Source organism: Homo sapiens, chromosome 8, assembly GCF_000001405.40.
Source record: "Homo sapiens chromosome 8, GRCh38.p14 Primary Assembly".
NCBI classification, from domain to species: Eukaryota; Metazoa; Chordata; class Mammalia; order Primates; family Hominidae; genus Homo; species Homo sapiens.
The window spans coordinates 124,622,556-124,644,354 of NC_000008.11; the positions used below are offsets into that span (position 1 = coordinate 124,622,556).

The following is a 21,799-nucleotide window of genomic DNA, read 5'->3' on the forward strand; positions in this document are numbered from 1 at the left end:
AGGCCAAGGCAGGCGGATCACTTGAGGTCAGGAGTTCGAGACCAGCCTGGCCACCATGGTGAAACCCTGTCTCTACTAAAACCACAACAATTAGCTGGTCTTGGTGGCATACTCTTGTAATCCATTACTCGGGAGGCTGAGGCAGGAGAATCGCTTGAGCCCGGGTGGTGGAGGTTACAATGAGCTGAGATCACACCACCGCACTCTAGCCTGGGCGGCAGAGCAGGGAGTCCATCTCAAAAAAAAAAAAAAAAGTAATTATGAGAAATGATAGATATGTTAACTTGCTTGACTATAGTAACCATTTCACTAAGTGTATCAAAACTTCATGTTGTACACCTTAAATATACACACAAACACACAAAAGACAATCTTCCCTGACCCGGAAAGTAGGGAGATGGGGCCCAAGGCAAAGTCAGAGCACAGACGAGCCCATCCCTGTGTAACAGTAAGAACGATCCAGCCTGCTTGCCTTTCTCACACCTTCCAGGAGGGCAGGTCACTGCGATGAGAGGAAGCACTCAAGTGGTTCCTAATCCAAAGAACTGTCTTGACTGAAGGATTCCAATAAGAAGTCTCCCACAAGCCTTGACTGGCTGTTTCAGAGTATGGTTACCCTACTGAAAATTGTTTAACTTCAACCCTATTTCTTGTCTTCTGAACTCACACACGTTTATCCTTCTTACGAAGACTACACACAACTAAACTGCATGTATCTGTGCTCATATGTCTATAGTGAACCTGTCATATGTCCTCAGACATTTTTTCCAGTAAGGTATTGATCAACCACCTTTGTGAGCAGCAACAGGAAAGGCAAAAATTATTGGAAAATGTGGTTAGGCTCAATTTTGTGAATGCCACATTTTCTTTTACCAAACATAACCAAATCCAACACCTAAAAGAGTTAGATGCCCTGGCCCTTCCCCCAAACAACTCATCTGTCCAATAAACACTTGCTGGCTTCACAAATTGGCCCAAAAGAGAGAAATGCATAAAATTAACTGTCCAATTTAAGCATTTGGCCTAAAAAAACCAAAGAGCACCTGAAACACTGAAGGATCTTCTGTGTTTTTTTGTTTGTTTGTTTGTTTGTTTTGAGACAGGGTCTTGCTCTGTCACCCAGGCTGGAGTGAGTGTGCAGTGGCGTGATCTCAGCTTACTGCAACCTCTGCCTCCTGGGTTCAAGCGATTCTCCTGCCTCAGCCTCCTGGGTACCCGGGACTACAGGCCCACACCACCACACCCGACTAATTTTTGTATTTTTAGTAGAGACCGGGTTTCACTATGTTGGCCAGCCAGGCTGGTCTCAAACTCCTGACCTCCGGTGATCCGCCTACCTTGGCCTCCCAAAGCGCTAGGATTACAGGCGGAAGCCACCTTGCGGGGCCCGCGCTAAGCACCTTCTAAAACTCACTGCCATCTTGCCTTTCTCTGGGAAAGTAAGGAAACTGCCTCCTTTCTTGTCAGCTCATCGAAGCTATCAACCATTGCTTCGTGTGGGTGAACTGATATGTGCTGTTACACCAGCTTAAAACAAAGGAGAGAGGCTTACTTTCAACCCCCATTTCACTCACGCTCCTATTTGAAAAGGTTTGTCACTGTGCGAAGACTCATATAGGACAGAAGAAGAAGACAGCCCCCGTCCTCAATGAGTGGACCATAGTCTGGAGGAGAAAGCAGCAAGCCCACAATTTATTATTTTTGCACTATCAGAGAGCTCTAAGCCAAATGGCTCCGCGTTCAGACAGCAAGAGTGCACCCGCTTTCTGAGCAGGGAAGGGACGTTTTCAGAAGATCCTCAGCCCAGGTTGTAAAAAGAGAAACTGGGAGGCATGGACCAGACATTCAGAGAACTGGTGAGCAAAAGCAGCCTAGACTCAGGTTGACGACGTGACACAGAAAAAGAAAAGAAAGGGATGGGTACAGGGGAATCACAGGGGCAGTGTCTATTCAGCCTGGCAGCTCCAGAGTAATGACAGAGGCAGGGCTAAGGATCCCAGGGCAGTCTGACACTTGAAGCCCAGGTACCTCCACCTGGGAGTCCCACCAACAAATAATAGGGAAATCAGGAGAAGGCAGTTTGGTTTGGCTGAGTCTCAGGTGCCAGGGGGAAGGCCAAATATCCCTGCACCATGCCAGCCACGTTGATGGCGCTGAAATAAATGTCTGTTCAGATGAATGGAGACCAACCACCAGACGGCTGGAAATGCGAAACTGAAGCTGACTCAAAGAGGTGGATTTGCGCAGAGCGGGGAGGTGTGGGCACAGGAATGAATGAGGTCTGCACACAAAGCTGTTTGCTACCCTCCACATTAAAATGGCAGATGTCTGGCAAATGCCTGGAAATTTCCTGACACCCATTGTCCTTGTTTCATAGATAAATGTTCTACATGACATGCCCATATTTCCCTAGCCACAGACCTCAGCGGCTGTAACAACACGTGCCCCAAATCTGTCAGGGCCTGGGTGTGTGGATTTCAGATCCAAAAATGCAAATCTTTTCTTTTCAGAGAAATGGTTTTCTGGGCAGGATTCTGGGCTCGGGAGCCAGAAAGGAGACTGAATGAGAAGGCATTGTGCAAATGATTGTCATCCTCGTCTGCCAGGATCAGATTCGTGTCCTGCCTCTGCCTCTCTTTAGTTACATGACCTTGGAAAGGACACTTGATCTCTCTGAGCCTTGGTGGGCTCATCTGTAAAATGGAACTCTGTACCTGCTTTGTAAGATTCTTCTAAGGATCATCGAAAATACATGGCAGGAGAATATATAAAATGTAAAGCCCTCCACGTGAGCAAGGGTTTCTTGGCAAGCAGCTGAATCCTTCTAATCTAGGCACTGTACCTATCAAAATAATTCTGGCTCATTCGTGAAGGCAGAATTACAGTCCAGGGAAATGAGTGCATGGTTGGGAACCTAAGGATCGCAAATGCTGAAACTTTAGACAGACCAGCATTTTCGGACACAGACGTTCAGTTCTCCAACACAGGCGGCTTTCATGGCGAAGTTCAGCTGGTATAGACCACCTGCTGGCGAGGCAACTCTACCCCCAGAAGCAGCCAAGTCCCGGCTCTGAGAGAGAAGGCCAGTTAAGGCACTCCCCCTGACCCCACACACAAAAACTGCAGCTTTGAGAATTGTGAAAGAGGCTTAAATGTTCCAGCTGCAAGTGTAGCTATGCTGCCTTCTTTAAATGCATCTAGTTCCTTTTATTTCAAGATGAACAGACTCCCAGGCACTGCTGCAAGATACGAAGGCCACACATCCATTTTCATGAGCAAACCCTCATCCACAACACTGTTTTCATCCAAGAAATCCAGACATCAGGATTATATCCATGCAAGGTCCCCACTGCCTCTCTCCCTCCCCTCTCAGTTGGCTCCAGGGTCAAATTTTCTGTAGGCTGTGACTTTAGTTTAAGCATAATGAACACCTACTATACGCAGCAGGAAACTGTGCAGAGTCTGATGAAGACTGAAAGGGAGAGGCTGCAAATCAAACCCAAATAGAACTCTAGGGCCAGGTCTTTTAACCATGGCACCATGTTGAAAAGGATGGTCATAATGAGGATAAATGAAAGGACAAGACAAAGTCAACAGCACAGTGAATACAAAGGGCTATGGGACAGGAAGTTGCAGGTATGCAGGTCTTCCAGGAGTGGAATTATTTCTCACCACACTGAGCCATTCTAGTGTTTCGTCAGTTCTTTTCTTGGGAACATTCTACACACAAAGCACTGGCCTGGGCCAGTCCACCACCAGCTTTTCTGCCAGGATGCTTGAGCTAAAAAATGATCCTATAAGCCAGGCATGGTGGCACGCATCTGTAATCTCAGCTACTCGGGAAGCTGAGGTGGGAGGATAGCTTGAGCCCAGGAGTTCAAGACCAGCCTGGGTAACCTAGAGAGACCCATGCTTCAAAATAAAAATAAAAAAACCAAACATGATCCTATAGTCAAAGTAGCTCCAGTCAAAAGGATTTTGAGAAACATTAAATCCAGAAATAGCAATCTTATCCACTGGGCTGGAGGGGGGCAGAGTGTGGGATGAGGATCTAGTAAGGTTCCATTCAACAAGGCGGTTTGTGGGGAGGCATTCAACCTGCCCTTGGGAGGAGATAATGAGGTGCACCCGGTCATGGGAATGGGGTGGTTAGAAATGATTACGGTGCAGTGAGGACCAATCAGCAGGCCGCTACAAGTTCTGTCTGGGACTCTGGGTTCCAGGTTTCTTCCTAGGGGCATCACACCAGCCTCTACTGCAACAGACAAAAGGAAAAGGCAACAAGAATCACATCTCCATGGTGACGGTCACAGAGCCTGATATACGCTGCCCCAACACTAGGAAAGGTCTCCCAAGGCAGGTCCTGTTCACTGCAGCTGGTGAGTCAGCAGCCCGCACCCAGCCCCTGCCCAGCCTGCACACAGGGGTTGGACACGAACCTGTCACGCAACATTGCTTCATTCCTCGAGTCCTGTGCACATTCCCATTTAGCAGGCAGCAGCTGTGTGGCTCACACCAAAGTTTGCACCGAGAAAAGCTTCCAAGGCTGCCACCAGGGTCTCAAAAGAGAAGGTAAGGCTGTGCTTATCCTCCCCTGCAACCTGGTACCTCTGGCCTCTGACCCTGGTGTCCCCACGGCCCTCTGAGCTATCTAAAAAACTGGAATCATCTTACAGTGTTTAAAAACCTGGTTCAATTTAGTTATCAAGTTGGTACTCAAAAGATGAGGGCTGGCTATCAGTGAGAAACTGGGGCATAATCGTTACATTCGCTAACACTGACTGAGTGCCACTTCATGCATTAGGTACTCAACATTTCACCTTCTCCACAACCCTCAAGGCAGGCATCTATCCTATAAAGGAGGAGACCAAGGCTCACGCAGGTTAAGTTGCTGATCCACAGTCACAAAGGGAAAATATGTTGAGGCCAGGATTCAAACTAAGGCTATCAGATTTCAAATCCCTTGTTCTCAACTCTTCCTCCACAGCACAGGGCCACAGCCAAGGAGACAGAGACAATATAAGACCGGGAAAGTAGAGGAGGGTGTCAGGAAGAATTCATGGAGCAGACACGATGGGATCATAGACTAAGCAGCCCTGGGAGATGGCCAGGGGTGGCGGGGGGGTCCCCCAGGGATCACTGAAAGGGTAATGTAAGAAGAGGAAGCTCAGCTAGGAGGGTGAAAGGCCTTAAAGGTCAGCCTGAGCTTCCACAGGCCATAGGGAGTCCGGGAGAGAAGCACAGGGAGACAGTGTGAACTGCGCTTTAGAAAGAAAACTGTGGCATTGCTATTTCCCATAAAAACTCTTACAGATAGAAAACTAGCAGTGACTGGTCGCGGTGGCTCACGCCTGTAATCCCAACACTTTGGGAGGCCGAGGTGGGCAGATTACTTGAGGTCAGGAGTTAGAGACCAGCCTGGCCAACAAGGTGAAACCCCGTCTCTACTAAAAATACAAAAGTTAGCCAGGCGTGGTGGCATGTGCCTGTAATCCCAGCTACTCAGGTGGCTGAGGCAGGAATATCGCTTGAACCCGGGAGATGGAGGTTGCAGTGAGCTGAGATCGTGCCATTGCACTCCAGCCTGGGCGACAGAGGGAGACCCTGTCTCAAAAACAACAACAACAGCAACAAACTAGCAGTGATGAAAAGTACAGAGCAGGTCAGTAATACAAACAGAAACCAAAAGTTTGCTGAGAACGGGTGCTTCCCATCCCAGGCTGCGAGTCTGAGCTCCAAGACATCAGCCGCGTCAGTCTTATCATCCGACTCCCAGATCATACTCCCCAGGACACGGCACCAATTATCTCTTCCAATTAAACCACCGCCACAGGATGCTAAATCCAGTGATATGAACCGGCAGCAGGATGCTTGCCCAGCCCAGGGCTGGCATTTATGATCCTTATTAGCAGGAAAGCTCTGTCTTCTGCTCCCCACGGCTCAGCTGTGGAACCTGGAGCTCCCACCAGCCCCCACAGCAGGTGCTCTGGGAAGGGGCAGAAGAAAATGATGGCAGGACTTGGAGAAGCCAGGACAGCAGAGTCAACAGTTCCAACTCCATTGGGGAACTTTCCCCATCGATGACAGCAATTTCCCTAACATCTAATTATAGGCATTTTGTCAGCTAAATAATAAGTTGCATGGATTAAATGCCTACAGTGAGCCAGGAACTCCAAGAAGTACCTTGTGTAATTTCATCTAATCCTCGCAACAACCCTCTGAGGCAATTCTTCATTGCCCATCCTCATTTTAAAGATGGGGAAACTGAGGCTAAGAGAAACCTGCCATAGGTGGGTAGACCTAGGACTCAAAGCCAGGTGGTGTCTAGCTCCGAAGTCTGCACTTCTTCCATTACACCACAGCAGACCCTGAAAGTAACACACACGGATTTTACAGGATCCCAAAGTATCTTCAGGGAGGTTTTATTTCCCAAGAGGGTCCTTGGGGCAGGAGGGAAATGAGTTAATCATGAGAGCTCACAAGTGCTGGGCACTCATGAGCCAGGCCTAGGCCTAAGCTCTGTGTACACATTCATTCATTCATTCATCTTCATTCTTTCAACAGCCCTGTGCATAAGCACTATCATCACCCCCATTTTATAGATGAGAAAACTAAGGCTCGAATTAAGGAGATTAAGCCACTTAAAGTTACACAGCTAAGAAATTCTGGAGCTAGATGGCCAGGCGCGGTGGCTCACACCTGTAATCCCAGCACTTTGGGAGGCTGAGGCGGGCGGATCACAAGGTCAGGAGATGGAGACCATGCTGGCTAACACGGTGAAACCCAGTCTCTACTAAAAAAAATACAAAAAATTAGCCAGGTGTGGTGGCGGGCACCTGTAGTCCCAGCTACTTGGGAGGCTGAGGCAGGAAAATGGCGTTAACCCAGAGGTGGAGCTTGCAGTGAGCCAAGATCACGCCACTGCACTCCAGCCTGAATGACTCCGTCTCAAAAAAAAAAAAAAAAAAAAAGAAAAGAAAAAGAAAAAAGAAATTCTGGAGCTGGATACTTAGCTATAGCGGTACCTAACTCTGAAGCCCGAGATCTGACCTCTCCCTAAAACAGACCTGAAACACGAGTTCCCACATCCCTGGTTGGTGAGACAGCCAAGTGCCTCCAACGTTAAGTGGCCTCCTGTCCTGCTGGAGGCTGGACAGGTAGTTTCCATCGTAACACACAGAGGCCACAGCCTGCCTGAGGGGAGGGTTCTCTCTCCCAGACACCACACCACAAGGCCACCCCCCTCCATCTGGGAAGAACCAGGGGCCTTTCCAAAGTGAATCATCCGAATAACCAGTCTTTATCATTTTAACTGTCATCTTTTAAAAACATATCACACACACCGTGCGTTCTTAAATGGAGCTACTGCCCAGTGGCTGCTGACTCATCACCCTGTAAAGAATTGAGTCGCTGAGGACAGATGTGGCAAGGCCAAGCCAGCTGCGTCAGCCCCGCTTGCTTAATCCTGTCTGAAGCTTCTTGAAATACTTCACCTGCTCCATGGAATATAATTCATCTTGTAAAATTGCTTAAAACTTTTAGACCAAAGGCATTTACATTTAATTAAATGACCAGGGAGAGTTAACTTCCCTCTACCTCCCCTGGAAGAGGTCACCTTCAGAAGTGACCTATTTCCTCCCTGAGCCCAAAGAGGTTGTGGACCCTAAAGGGCCCCAGTCTAAGCCCACCCCATGCCACTGGGCTGAATGGGGGCCACCACATCTTTTGGCAAGCCATCCATCAACAGAGTCACCAACAGGCAAGCAGCCTGGGCTACCCGAGCAGACTGTCAGCCACATGGGAGGAAAGGTGGGGGTGGGGTGGGAGCAGGAACAGAGGGGAGGACCTGAAAGAGGAGGTGGAGAAAGGCTGGGAGGAAGAAGAGGATGAAAAAGGCCACTTGTGACTCAGGGGGCCTATGGGCCAGCAGCAAGATCATGGAGCCCCAGCACTGCCTGACCCACTGCATCACCGCCCACATTTTTAACAAGGCTCCAGGCCATTCACAGGCACTGGACAGTTTGAGAAGCACTGGTCTACAGCACAGGCTTTGGAGTCAGAAACATCCGGGTACCAGCCCCAGCCACACTACTCACTTTCTATGTGACCTACAATGAGCTACATAGCCCCAACCTGCCTCCACTGTCTCATTTGTAGGGCAGTACCTACTTACAAGGTGGTTTTAAGAGGAAATTAAAATAATGCAAATAAAGTACTTAGCACAAAATCTAATACAAAAAAAATGACCAGCTGGCTCTGCTATCAACACATAAAGCTTAGAACCCAAGTCACCAGATTCTGCCTCTCATTACTTCTCATCATTATGGAAACCTTTGGAGGCCTTTGGCCATGGCATTCTGAACCTGCTTGGTATATTGCAATGCTGTGCCACCTACCAGCATGTTCCTAAATACACATGTATTTAAGGCAGCATCATCACTGAGATAAAAAGTTACCAACTACACCTGGAGCCAGAAACATGTGTATAAGAAAGGGAAAATAAGGAGGACTGAGAGCACTTGAGCATTTCATTGGCCTGCACCCTGAGGATTCGCCCTTGAGCCTGAAACATACACGCAGCACAGAGGTCAAAGGCAAAGAGTAAGGAATCAGCAGCTTTGGGAAGGTGGGGCACGGGGACAGGCCAGGTCTCCTGGACTCGGATTCCAGGCACGCTGCCACAGCTGGGTGCTCCCGAGGACAGCACAGACAAAGGTCACTACCTTGACCCACCAATCTCCCTAATGACACAAAACGCCCTTTACTTCCAGAGCCAGCAAACACAGCAACCTGATTTCACAAGACATGAGCCCTTCTGGACCCTAAAGAGTACGTCCACGTGCTAGGAAAAGACGAGCGCTACACGACAGTCCCGACACTGCTGCACAGCTCAGACCCTGTCCTGGCCCGCAGGCCACTGCCTCCTCAGAACTCTCCTTTTCCTCCATGCTCCCAGGCTTTGTTGGTGACCTCACCGTGCACCAGACCTTAACTCCTGGTCAATGCCACCCTGCCCCTCATCTCATCCTGAGTCTGAGCATCTCTGGCACTAAAATTTCTCTGATCCCCTCCATAGTCCACTCACTTCACTCCCAAAGCCACCATTCAGGTTCTGACTATGAAAGCCCTCGGGCCTGCCAGCTTCTGTCTCTCCAATTCAAACTGCTTTTAGCACCACTGCTTAGCCAACCTCCTACAGCGGGTCTGATCCCATTGTGCCTTGGGTGGCTCTCCACTGCTTACAGAATCACACCCACGGCCCTCCAAAGGCAGAGGCAGCAAAGCTCAGGCTTCCCCCACTGCCTGTCCACCCACTCGGCTCTTCCACTGCAGCTACTGGAATAACAGATCTGAGCTTTGGGCCTGCTGCTGATGATGGTGGTTGTGTCATTTGGTTTTTAACAGAAAGCAAAGAGAAAGAGGAGAAAAGTTAAGGAGCATCCGGGTGCAGTGGCTCATTCCTGTAAGCCCAACACTTTGGGAGGCCAAGACAGGAGAATCGCTTGAGCCCAGCAGTTTGAGACCAGCCTGGGCAACATAGCGAGACTCCATCCCTTCAAAAAAATTTAAATAATTAGCCAGGTGTGGTGGTGCATGCCTGTAGTCCCAGCTACTTGGGAGGCTGAGGCAGGAGGATCCCTTGAGCTTAGGAGTTCAAGGATTCAGTGAACTATGACCATAACCACTGCACTCTAGCCTAGGAAGCAGAGTGAGACTCTGTCTCAAAAAAAAAAAAAAAAAAAGGTAAGGAACAAGTTTCTCAATCCTGCCTTTTATTAACACATACATAGGTCAGTAAAAAATAAGATGAGGCTGGGCATGGTGGCTCACACCTATAATTCCAGTGCTTTGGGAGGCCAAAGCAGGAGAAATACTTGCAGCCAGGAGTTCGAGACAAGCCTGGGCAACATAGTAAGACCCCACCTCTACAAAAAATTAAAATAAAAAATTCAAAAAAAAATTTAAAGATAGATTTTGCTATAACCTGGAAATTTCTCCAGCCAAAGGGTTGTTGTCATCTCAGGCATCAATGGCCTCAATAATTGTATTGTTGGTCAAAACCTCTTGGGAACTCATCTTTAAGAACAGCATTCAGAATTAGGTTTTGTTTGTTTGTTTGTTTGTTTTTTGAGATGGAGTCTTTCTCTGTTGCCCAGGCTGGAGTGCAGTTGCACAATCTCAGCTCACTGCAACCTCTGCCTCCTGAGTTCAAGCGATTCTTCTGCCTCAGCCTTCCAAGTAGCTGGGACTACAGGTGTATGCTACCGCATCCAGCTAATTTTTGTATTTTTAGTAGAGATGGGGTTTTGCCATGTTAACCAGGCTGGTCTCGAACTCCTGACCTCAGGTGATCCACCTGCCTTGGCCTCCCAAAGTGGTGGGATTACAGGCATGAGCCACCACACCCGGCCTCAATCCTGCCTTTCACTAACCCATACATATCATACATAAGGTCAGTAAAAAATAAGGTGGCGCGGGGCATGGTAGCTCACATCTACAATTCCAGTGTTTTGGGAGGCCAAAGCAGGAGGAATGCTTGAGGCCAGAGGTTCGAGACCAGCCTGGGCAACATAGTGAGACCCCATCTGTATAAGAAATTAAAATTACAAAATTAAAAAAAAATTTTTAAAGATGGATTTTGCCACAACCTGGAAATTTCTCCAGCCAAAGGGTTGTTGTCATTTTAGGCATCAAAGGCCTTAATAATTTTATGTTTGGTCAAAACCTCTTGGGAACTCATCTTTAAGAACAGCATTCAGAATTAGGTTTCTAAGTGACTCAATAAAAGGAGTCCTTGTCCTTCACAAACTCTCCTGATCACATATAGTATTGAGTGGCTTTGTCACTTGCCTTAGTCTTGGGCCTTAGCTCTGACTCTTATTCCTAAAAGGAAAAATTAAGTCCATTCTCAGTAGGTGAAAACCTATCATAGGCCGGGCACAGTGGGTTTACGCTTGTAATCCCCGCACTTTGGGAGGTCGAGGCGGGTGGGTCACTTGAGGTCAGGAGTTCGAGACCAGCCTGGCCAACATGGTGAAACCCCGTCACTACTAAAAATACAAAATTATCTGGGTGTGGTGGCACACGCCTGTAATCCCAGCTACTCGAGGGGCTGAGGGAGGAGAATCACTTGAACCCAGGAGGCGGAGGTTGCAGTGAGCTGAGATCACACCACTGCACACTCCAGCCTGGGCGACAGAGCAAGATCCTGTCTCAAAAAAAAAAAAACCAACAACAACAAAAAAACCCTTCAGTGCCTTCTGAAGTAATGTTTGTTGATCCTAGTACCGCCTAAATTTCTGACGGTGGTTCTAGAAGTGCTTTCCCAAAATGTTTGAGTAATGGCCACACTGAGAGAACAGGTAGAATTAGCCTCCAAAGGCAATTCATATAATTACTTCTCTCACACTTCAAGATATGGTCTGGTTCAAAATTTATGTATCAAAGTATAAATTCATCAAAATGTCAAACAATGACCCACTCTAGGTGGCTTCCTTTGAGACCAGTAGGAAGGATAAAATATAGACCAGTCCTTATTTATTTATTTATTTTTAATTTTTTTTTTTTTTGAGACAGGGTCTCACTCTGTTGCCCCAGCTGGAGGACAGTGATGTAATCATGGCTGTCACTGCAGCCACAACCTCCTGGGCGCAAGCAATCCTCCCACCTGAACCTTGCAAGTAGCTGGGACTACAGGCGCACACCATCATACCTGGCTAGTTTTTTTTTGTTGTTGTTGTTGTTTTGTAGTTTTTTTTATAGTTTTTTTTTGTAGAAATGACATTTCACCACATTGCCCAGGCTGGTCTCAAACTCCTCCCACTCAAGTGATCCTCCTGCCTTGGCCTTTCAAAGTGCTGGGATTATGGGCGTGAGCTGCCCAGCCAACAAGTCTTTATTTAAATGAGAGATATAAAAAGTCCCAATTTGCCCCATGTTTCCACATGCTTTTCTTCTTCATCCTCTCAAACCATACTCCATAAATATTTGTAAAAATGATTTGATTTTGGTCTGTCACCAAGGATACACTCCTCACCCTAAGGGGTTATGACAACAGGGAAATACTCATCTCATTTTTGTGATGGGCTGATTAGAGCCAGAAACCTTCTGATTTCCTTGATCTAAATATTTTTCCCTCTTGTAGCTTCAAAAAAAAAAAATGCTAGCAAATGCACAGTCCATGTCCTTGGTATTCAAAGTGTGCTCCCTGAATCAGCAGCAGCAGAATCACCTGGGAGTGTGACGGAAATGCAGTGTCCTGGGGACCCATCTGTGCTGGACTTGCTGAATCAGAACCTACATTTGACAGGATCCCAAGCAATTCCCATGCACATTGGAGTTTGGGAAGTGCCGTTCTATGCTGTGAGTTTAAAAGACAGCAAATGATTTTTTAAAACATTACTAGTCTTAATGCACTTTTTGTTTTGTACGAAATAATGAACTGTCCTCTGATTCTCTGTTCTTATCTACAAAAAGAAATGACTGTCTATTCTCCCCAGGTTATTGTAAGAGTTAACGCTCAATGCCTAGCTCAAAGCCTGGAACGTTAAAGCTGCCCAAACTTCCATTTATTTACCCTCCAAACATCACTTCCTTCCTCTAGCTCTTTCTTCCTATAAGTAAAGTTCTTTCTTGCTTTTAGGGTTTAAAAAGGTAAGAGAAGGTAAAGGAATAGCATTTCAGAGAAAAGGAAGAAAGCAATAAATACAGGGAACAGAGTCAAATGACAGGAAACTCTAGATCACCTTAGAGAATAAACTCTTAAAGTCAGCAGTCTGTACACAGAGAAGCTCTGGTTTGGTCATCCTTCAGGTAGCAGGTGCAACAGTTAGTTGTAGAAACATGGATGTGGTTATCTAATTCTGAGAAGACTCAGGACTTCTTCACTGCAAAGCTCAGCAGAGAAATCTATGTCAACAGAGACATCTGTAATGCTTGACACATCCCAGGCAAATGCCGGAACGCCTCTGTTCCTATAAGATCTCCCATGCCTCCCTACCCAGAGCACAGAAGGTCCTTATCACTCTTGGTCTATTCTAATCAGCAGCTTTCAGGTTATCTCCCATCTGCCATGCTAAGTTGCTTGAGGCTAAGGAGAGTAGCTTAATCATCTTTACACTCTCCATAGCACTGCAAGATCTAGTAGACAACGGGAGCTCAATCACTGGTTGTGTGAGTGTCCTGAGCTGTTATTCTCTCTGAAGCAATTGCCCTATTTGTAGATGGAATCAACTATATTTTATGGCTCCCGGATTCCCAATTTTATTGGATTGCTCTCATGCCTTCCATCTAGTTGCTAAACAAAACAACAAGAAAGCCTACCTGCCTCAATATTCTCATTTAGGCCAAATAAACTGCCCTGTTACATACACCAAGCACCTGAACGAGTCTTTAAGGAAGAACACTCAGCTCTCTAACATTAAAAGACACAAAGGCAGGAAAACCAATACATTCACACTGGAGGGTGGAGGGTGCAGGGTGCATTCGACAGGCTCCTTAGGCTAGGAGCGCAGAGTCCAAAGAGCGCAGCCCTGCCTCAGATATGGGTTCCTGTGCTGGAACCTCAGCTACTAACTTTCTCCTTCTTCTTTGAGATGGAGTCTCCCTCTGTCGCCCAGGCTGGAGTGCAGTGGCACGATCTCCGCTCACTGCAACCTCTGCCTCCTAGGTTCAAGCGATTCTCCTGCCTCAGCCTCTGGAGTAGCTCGGACTACACTTGTGTGCCACCATGCTCAGCTAATTTTTTGTATTTTTAGTTGAGATGGGGTTTCACCATGTTGGCCAGGCTGGCCTCGAACTCCTGACCTCAAGTGATCCGCCTGCCTCGGCCTCCCAAAGTGCTGGGATTACAGGTGTGAGTCACTGCACCCCGCCAAAGTTTGGTGGCCTTTCTCTATTTTCTAAATGTGTTTGAGACTCTAAATACTAGGAAAATGTAACAGAGGTCATTAACTGAGGGAGCTTACCTCCAAAACATTTTCCAAAGGGCAGAGAACATAACATGATCATTCTGACAGCTGTGACAAATGTGGGTTTATTTGCCTGACTGCCTCTGTGTCCATTTATCTATGATCACTGAGGCCTCATACTCCTGCTCAGGAAATGTACCCAGCTGTCCACTTAGAGGTACAGCTGACCAAGAGTCTCAAAGTCTTCCTTGACAATCCGAAAGTACCTAAGCACCCATCGCCATTGGAGAGGGTGCCCTTGAAGGGTAACCACTTTACATTTGGCACAAGGACTTCTTGGCCCCATCGGGACCTTGCACGATGACCTTTGATCCTCTGCAGAGGAACCAACAGTCAGCATTTGCTGCGGGCAAGGAGCCAATAGCAACTGACTCTGCCGAAATTATCCTCTCCCAGGTCTTACTTATTAAATTCAGAAGTGTCCAGCTCTGAACTAAGAGGGGATTTTCCTCTGGCATCCATAAAGATGGCTACGGAAGGAATTAATTTTCAATCTTTTGCTGTGTGCCCTATATCTTACATGTTCCCTTATTTAATAGCATGATCACCCAGGGAGTTGGACGTGTACCCTAAAAGATGAGGAAACGCAGCCCTGCCTAAGACCACAAAAGAAGCACCTGGCTCCAGAACTGTCAGATCCTGAAGCATCCGTGTTGGTTCATGCTTTTCTAGAGCCATCCTACTCCCTCAATATGAAGAGCTCAAATAAGATGGCTAGACTTTAAAGTGAACTTATTTATTCATTCAACCTTATTCGGTGAAAGGGACCAGGAAAATGGAGTGGTAACTAGAGAGGGAGACAGAGTCAGGGGAGTTTTGGGATGGTGACATTAAAGTGATGCACACTCATGGCCAATCTAGAGTGAGGAATATACAGGAGAGAAACCTGAGCAGCATGGGGTGGGGGCTGAGACCCCAGAAGGCCCTTCTCCCACAGGAAAGGGGAAGCCAGACCCACGGCTCCAACATGGGCAGGCTGGTGGTAAGCTGGGTATCTGGTGTTGGGAAGATGGGTGCTGAACACTTGCAGAAAGCAGGAGGGAGGGGGTTAGATCACTCGCAAAACCTTGGCCTTGGCCCAGCTGCTGTTTCATGCTGGGGCCTACAGGAAACAGGTGGTCACCTCCTCCGTTCACACCCTAGAAGGGGTGGAATTTATGTGTCACATTTGGGTCTCAGATTCTCCCCCCAAAGCAGCATGCTTCCGACGGGTGTCTAAGTGAGGGGGGGTAATCTTCCCCCACAAGCTAAACAGCTGTTTTTTGTGGTTATATTTTGGATGTATACACTTGCTCATTCGTTCATTCTGTGCAAACGTTTACTGAGCCCAGGTGTAAAAGTTGCTATGGGAACATGAAAATAAATCAGGCTGAACTTGCCCTCAAAGAACATATCCTCTTATAGAAGACTTACACACAAGTTAGATAAATTAAGGAGGTTAAGCAGGGTTTGGCAGTTTAGGGGGAGTAGATTAATTCCAGCTGGGAGCAGCGTAGTACTTCCCAAACTTTAATGTATAGAAGAATCACCTGAGACATTTCCCCTATGGGGTCTCTTTCTCCCCATAAAATTCTGTTATTCCTGGATCTTTTTAGAGCAGAAGACAATGACTTTGCTGATGGTATAGTCCTATGAGTTGAAGAATGTGGCCTTTAACAATAAATCTAACAAAGATGTTAATCAGAATTATTTCACCTTATCACAGAGATCCAAGGAAATTTCAAATTTCACAACTACAAAAGGCTTAAAGTCAGGAAACTGCAGTTCAATTGTTAAGCGTCTCTCTCTTCAACCCATGGAGCTAAGAAGGTACACATCAGTGTTTGTGATCAAATCCACTACCCCAAACTGGGCCTATCTTAGAGTTTAGTAATGTTGATAAGTGGCGCTTCAAAGGAAGCCCACATCATCCTAAAATAAGCTGGGAATGAGAAAAGTCCCAGCTGAAACAGGAAGGGGATCACACACAGACATTCCATTTCCAAATTTCCTTCCCCGGCGGAGATCCGTGCCCTTCGGTACAGTGTCAGGAAACCGGAGGGTCTGTGATGAGATAAGCAGACACCTGCTCTCCCCACATTCTTGGAGCTACTCAGTTCTCCCCGGAGAATAGAAATGGGCCACAGAGCTCATTACCACCATTCAAGCATGAAGCTGAAATATCTCCCATTTAATAACCTAGGGGTCTTCAGAGTAACACCCATCACAGACGCATTTCCCACCTCTTTGTCCAGGATGCAGGAGGGTAACAAGGGCCCTGAGGCCACAAAAGAATGAGGAGCAGAGGAGGAGGCTTTTCTTAATCACTAGTAATTATCACTATCATGTTACAAGCAAACAAATATCATTTTGGAAATCCAGAACAATCTCCATGAGGTAAAGAATTTTAACTAACTGGGCGGGCCAGTTTGAATTCATCAAAAGGCTGAACTGGCAAGCACTTACTACACATTGTCACAACAAAAAAGTAATTTTATTTTTTCAAATGCGTATGTAGCAAGGGGCTAAATTAAAAAGGTATTGGCGGCCTGGCCCAGGTGGTGGCTCATGCCTGTAATCTCAGCACTTTGGGAGGCCAAGGCAGGCGGATCACTAGAGGTCAGGAGTTCCAGACCAGCCTGGCCAACATGGTGAAACCCCATCTCTACTAAAAATACAAAAATTAGCCGGGCTTTGGTGGCGCACACCTGTAGTCTGAGTTACTCGGGAGGCTGCGGCAGGAGAATCGCTTGAACCCAGGAGGCAGAGGTTGCAGTGAGCCAAGATCACGCCACTGCACTCTAGCCTGCGCCACAAAGCAAGACTCCATCTCCAAAAAACAAAAGTGTTGCCTTAATAAGATGTAAAATTATCACAACAAAACAAAAATTTAAGTGGTTCCTATAAAGTGCTATAAGAATATATTCTATTAAATACACTATTATATCTTTCTGATGGTATTACCTTACTTAGATTTTTTTTTTCCCTGAGACAGGGTCTTGTTCTGTGTCACTCAGGCTGGAGTGCAGTAGCACTATCTTGGCTCACTCCCGTATTCAAGTGATTCTCGTGCCTCAGCCTCCGGAGTAGCTGGGATTACAGGCTGTGCCACCATGCCCAGCTAATTTTTTGTATTTTTAGTAGAGATGGGGTTTTTCCATGTTGCCCAGGCTGGTTTTGAACTCCTGACCTCAAGTGATCTGCCTGCTTCGACCTCCCAAAGTGCTGGGATTACAGGCGTGAGCCACCGCGCCCAGCCCCAGATTTCTTTTCTATGTAGTGCTATGACTATTACTAACTAAATGTTCATCATCTGCAAAGCCTAACCTTTCGTTCAATTTCTTGCCCCAATAGCTAATAATCATAATAGTGAATAAGGTAAACATTATAAGTAGGCAGAACAATATAAACAGTTTATGACATTTGGCTGACATTATAAGTAGGCAGAACAATATAAACAGTTTATGACTTGTGGCTGACATTTAACGAGCACCTACTATGTGAAAGGTGCTTTCATCCAGACTATAGGTATTTATTCCCTGGATCCTCCCCAGCTGCAGTGCTGGACAGTTGTCCATCTCATTTTACATTTTACAGAGGAGGAAACTGAATGTCTGGCCTCCCCTAGGCCTCACCAGCTGGTAGATGGGTCAAGCTGGGATACAAACCCAGCCTTCTTGATTACCCTACCCACTGTTATTTCACTGAGCCAAGGCTGAGAAACGCAGTCACTCTGGTTCTACGGAAGAGCTGCCTTCTCTGATGTGATGGTTGTTCGATTATTTTAAAAAGTCGGGGTAGGAAAGGACTAAAAAATTATACGCACACACCTTAAACAATTTACTGGAACGGAAAACATTCATTCCTCAATCTTGTGAAGGGCCAAGGCCTTCTCTTTAGAGTGGGGATCTGCTGACTAGAGTTCTGTGGTCTTTCCGGCAACAACCACACCCCATCCACACACCCTGCAATGTCAGATTTCAGGTTCCTTCAAGGAGAGTTTCACTACTTACAAAGTAGAAAATCCTTCTAGATTTTTTTGTTTTGTTTTGTTTTTGAGATGGAGACTCGCTCTGTCACCCAGGCTGGAGTGCAATGGCGTGATCTCAGCTCACTGCAACCTCCGCCTTCTGGGTTCAAGCTATTCTCTTGCCTCAGCCTCCTGAGTAGCTGGGACTACAGGTGCCCGCCCCCATGCCCGGCTAATTTTTGTATTTTTAGTAGAGATGGGGTTTCACCATGTTGGCCAGGTTGGTCTCAATCTCTTGACCTCGTGATCCACCCTCCTCGGCCTCCCAAAGTCCTGAGATAACAGGCGTGAGCCACCGTGCCCGGCCTCAACCCTTCTAGATTTTACCTACACCATCCCCTCTTTATTTATACTGATTGTCTCAACCACACCTTAAACAACAGGAATTTCTTTATAAGTTGTTTTGCAACTCTTTCCAAAACACATAACTTAGTTTTCAAAAAAACGAGTTCTCTTTTCACACTAATATGTCATCCGTGTATGTACTATTTTGGTTACATAATTACAAAAGCAAGTACATGTGGCAAAAAAAAAAAAACAAGTCTGGGGGAAAACCCGCAACTGATCAGTAAGCACAGAGCTCATCTGGGGGAGGGGACATGGCAGGGGACAAGGAAGAGAGCCATCACAGCCCCCAGTGCCCTGATGGGTCAAATGGACCAGGGGAATGGAAGACCACAGTCACTTTGGCCAGCAGGCCCAGTGCAGGCTGGTTAAGAGAGCTCCCTCCAGACCCCCCAATCCCCATATACCTGTGAGCAACTTGGGAAAACAGTGAACATTCCTATCAGAAAATAAAGCCGTGTTAGAGAAAAGAATAAAAGGATTGAGACACAATTAAGATGGGTTCAAATAACCACAAGTCTTTTCTAGTCCCAGGGTCTCTCTGAGCCTCAATTCCTTTGTTTGAAACGTACAGTTAAAACAAGATTCCTTGTGCAGTTGCTGCAGGAATTAAATAAGAACATATGGAAAGTGCCCAGCCCAGGCCTTGGAACACAGAAATTACTCAATAAACGGGCTCTTTACCTGATTTATCGTGGTATCTCTCTCCCACAGTGCCTAGCAACATGCTGTGAAGTAAGAAGCTCTGATGGCTGGACAGAAAGACGGACAGATGGTCTGATGTCAGAACTGTAAAAATCCTTCAGTTTATCACCTTGCTTGGCTCAAATGGCCCCCCTAAAACAAATCAAGTATCTGTAGCTGGAGTCAGAGTGTTCCCCACCTGAAAATAAATTCTAATTTTACCAATAAGCATGGAGAGACCAGAGTAGGAATAAAAGGAAGAGATAAACAGAAGAGAATTTAAAAAGTATCAGACCCAGATGTTAAACAAAAAACTGGCTCACTGGCAGATAAATCTTTTTTCCCCTCTTCCCGCCAATTGTGGTTATTAAGAATGAGGACACATTAGAATAAGTGTGATTTTTTTTCAAGGCACAGAGAAATTTATAGACAGCTAAATCCAGCAAAAAGATAAATCATTTACCCTTAGTTTTCAGTAAATAGAAAGTCTCCAAAAGTTGAAAGGAAAACAGTTCCAGAATAACCACCATGTGGTTTTGGTTTCAAGTACTTAGCATTTCATAACAGGCGCAGTTCACTGAGAAGATATTTAAACTCTGAAACGAGGCAGGTGCAGAATACATGCTTTCAATTGTGGATGTGATAGGAATGGAAAGTAGGCAGAAATTGAAGGCTTTTTTTAATTTAACGAATCAATCAGCAGATAAAGCTTTCACTCACTGTAAATTTTCTGTTTACAAAAGCTCCACATGCTAGGATGACACACCCAAAGACTAGGGAGGGGACACTATACTGTGGAAAGAAAAACATCTCCATTTTCAACAGAAGGAGCCCAAAGTCAGCCTACCCTTTGAAGTTTCAGTTAGCTCCCATCTTCCTGCCAATCACCCACCTTAAGTCCAAGGAGGCTTTACAACTATTAGATCTCTAGGCATCTCCTTAGCTAGTAACATATTTATATTGATCCACCTAAGTTGGAAATATGAGTTGTTAAGACAGCCCCATGTTTCTTCTGGGTTTTTTCTTTTTTCTTTTTTCTTTTTTTTGGAGATGAGTTTCACTCTTGTTGCCCAGTCTGCATTGCAATGGCATGATCTCGGCTCACTGCAACCTCTGCCTCCCGGGTTCAAGTGATTCTCAGGGCTCAGACTCTCAAGTAGCTGAGATTACAGGTGCATGCCACCACGCCTGGCTAATTTTTGTGTTTTTAGTAGAGACAGGGTTTAGTCATATTGGTCAGTCTGGTCTCGAACTCCTGACCTCAGGTGACGTGCCTGCCTCAGCCTCCCAAAGTGCTGGGATTACAGGCATGAGCCACTGCGCCCGGCTCTTCTGGGTTCTTAAGCACGGTGTTAAACCTCAGTTTTCTCATCTGTGAAACAGGAGCAATGAAACCTACTTGAGCCAGCCATTGTGAGAACTAACAATAACAGACTTAGCACATACAATAAGTTCTCAATCCATGGTAGCTGCTATTCTTCTTTTTCTCTGCATAATTAAGGGGGAAAACTGAGTATCTTTGATCAATAAAATTTGGCAGAGAGAAAAAAATTGGTAACCCCTAGTGTTAATAAGACTTCCAAAGAAGCATTTGGCAATACAACAGAAGCCTACAAATGCTTACGGCCCTCACTCGGCAATCCCACATGAGGACTCCATCCTAGGGAAATAAGATATGCAAAAAGATGCACAGGAATGCCTTCTGCAGCATCATTTAGAATACTGGAACTCTACAAGCAAAAGATAACCAACAGTGGGGGAAATGGCCAAATAAACAGTTGTGTGTTCATAGGAGTTGTTCCTGCAGCCACGGAAAAATGATTACAATATGATCATTTAAAAACAAAAATCTAGCCCGGCGCAGTGGCTCATGCCTGTAATCCCAGCACTTTGGGAGGCCGAGGCAGGCAGATCACCTGAGGTCAGGAGTTCGAAACCAGCCTGACCAACATGGAGAAACCCCATCTCTACCAAAAATAAAAAAATTAGCCAGGCGTGGTGGCACATACCTGTAATCCCAGCTACTCGGGAGGCTGCAGCAGGAGAATCGCTTGAACTGGGGAGGCAGAGGCTGTGGTGAGCCAAGATCGCACCATTGCACTCCACCCTGGGCAACAAGAGCGAAATTCCGTCTCAAAAAAAAAAAAAAAAAAAAAAAACCACGAAAATCTGTACTCAAAACTTTGGGATTTCATGTTATAAATATATTTAAAATAGTATGTACCCATTGTGTCTATAAATATTAGGAGAAAAGTACAACAAAATACTACATTAGGTATTTCCAAATGGCAAAATTACAGGTAACTTTTATATGTTGTCAGAGAATTGTTTGTATTTTTGAAATTCTGTGCAAGTAATTTATTTAAAGTCAGGAAAAAGTTATTAAAAAGTTTGTGGGTGTGGGTATGTGTCTGTGATGGAGAGGGACAAAGCACACTAAAGAGAAGCCAACTGGAAGCACGCCATTAATTGCTGATGCTTGAGTACAGAAAGAAGAGAAAGAATAGGATTCCCTTTAGGCCCACGGTTTGAGTTACATTAAGCCTGTGGTCATTTCCTTTAAGACCTGGGAACATGGGCATTGCTCATTTTCATGTACTATTATTTGTGCCAAAAGAAAAAAAAGAAAGCCTCCCAAACCTCAAACCACATTGAAATGCATGAGCAGCACATAATTCTGTAGCATTTTGGTTTCCTTGGCAACCTTATCTCTGTCTTCTTTGATCTCAACCACAGATGAAAAAGTCTTGGTTCTCCAAAGTCCCTGAGATCAATTGCCAGCTAGACAGTA

At 46.0% G+C, this 21,799-nt stretch overlaps 1 protein-coding gene across 33 annotated transcripts in view, besides 6 other annotated features; it reads right to left on the reverse strand.

Annotated features, from left to right (window-relative positions):
• MTSS1 (MTSS I-BAR domain containing 1) overlaps nt 1-21,799 on the reverse strand; it is a 177,690-nt gene that overhangs the window by 71,772 nt on the left and 84,119 nt on the right. For 2 of the 33 annotated variants that reach the window (XM_047422491.1, XM_017014090.3), the window contains exon 1: nt 19,009-19,349. The exons of the other annotated variants lie outside the window; for them this stretch is intronic. In XM_047422491.1, coding sequence (XP_047278447.1) covers nt 19,009-19,051 — 43 coding nt within the window. In that variant the 5' untranslated portion in view covers nt 19,052-19,349. Of the gene's footprint in view, nt 1-19,008; nt 19,350-21,799 lie in introns of those variants that run through there. 33 annotated transcript variants of the gene reach the window in all.
• Nucleotides 3,723-4,922: an enhancer, noted in NCBI's record as "BRD4-independent group 4 enhancer chr8:125638519-125639718 (GRCh37/hg19 assembly coordinates)". NCBI's record gives its function as "activates an origin of replication core promoter dependent on BRD2, P300/CBP, MED14 and CDK7 cofactors, and independent of BRD4, by STARR-seq in HCT116 cells {active_cell/tissue: HCT116}" and the evidence as "EXISTENCE:reporter gene assay evidence [ECO:0000049][PMID:35650434]".
• Nucleotides 5,731-5,790: an enhancer, noted in NCBI's record as "active region_27890". NCBI's record gives its function as "activates an Ori minimal core promoter by ATAC-STARR-seq in GM12878 lymphoblastoid cells {active_cell/tissue: GM12878}" and the evidence as "EXISTENCE:reporter gene assay evidence [ECO:0000049][PMID:35858748]".
• Nucleotides 5,821-5,870: an enhancer, noted in NCBI's record as "active region_27891". NCBI's record gives its function as "activates an Ori minimal core promoter by ATAC-STARR-seq in GM12878 lymphoblastoid cells {active_cell/tissue: GM12878}" and the evidence as "EXISTENCE:reporter gene assay evidence [ECO:0000049][PMID:35858748]".
• Nucleotides 7,044-7,093: an enhancer, noted in NCBI's record as "active region_27892". NCBI's record gives its function as "activates an Ori minimal core promoter by ATAC-STARR-seq in GM12878 lymphoblastoid cells {active_cell/tissue: GM12878}" and the evidence as "EXISTENCE:reporter gene assay evidence [ECO:0000049][PMID:35858748]".
• Nucleotides 7,253-7,547: an enhancer, noted in NCBI's record as "tiled region #10356; K562 Activating DNase unmatched - State 5:Enh". NCBI's record gives its function as "activates a minimal TATA promoter and a strong SV40 promoter by Sharpr-MPRA in K562 cells {active_cell/tissue: K562}" and the evidence as "EXISTENCE:reporter gene assay evidence [ECO:0000049][PMID:27701403]".
• Nucleotides 7,754-7,823: an enhancer, noted in NCBI's record as "active region_27893". NCBI's record gives its function as "activates an Ori minimal core promoter by ATAC-STARR-seq in GM12878 lymphoblastoid cells {active_cell/tissue: GM12878}" and the evidence as "EXISTENCE:reporter gene assay evidence [ECO:0000049][PMID:35858748]".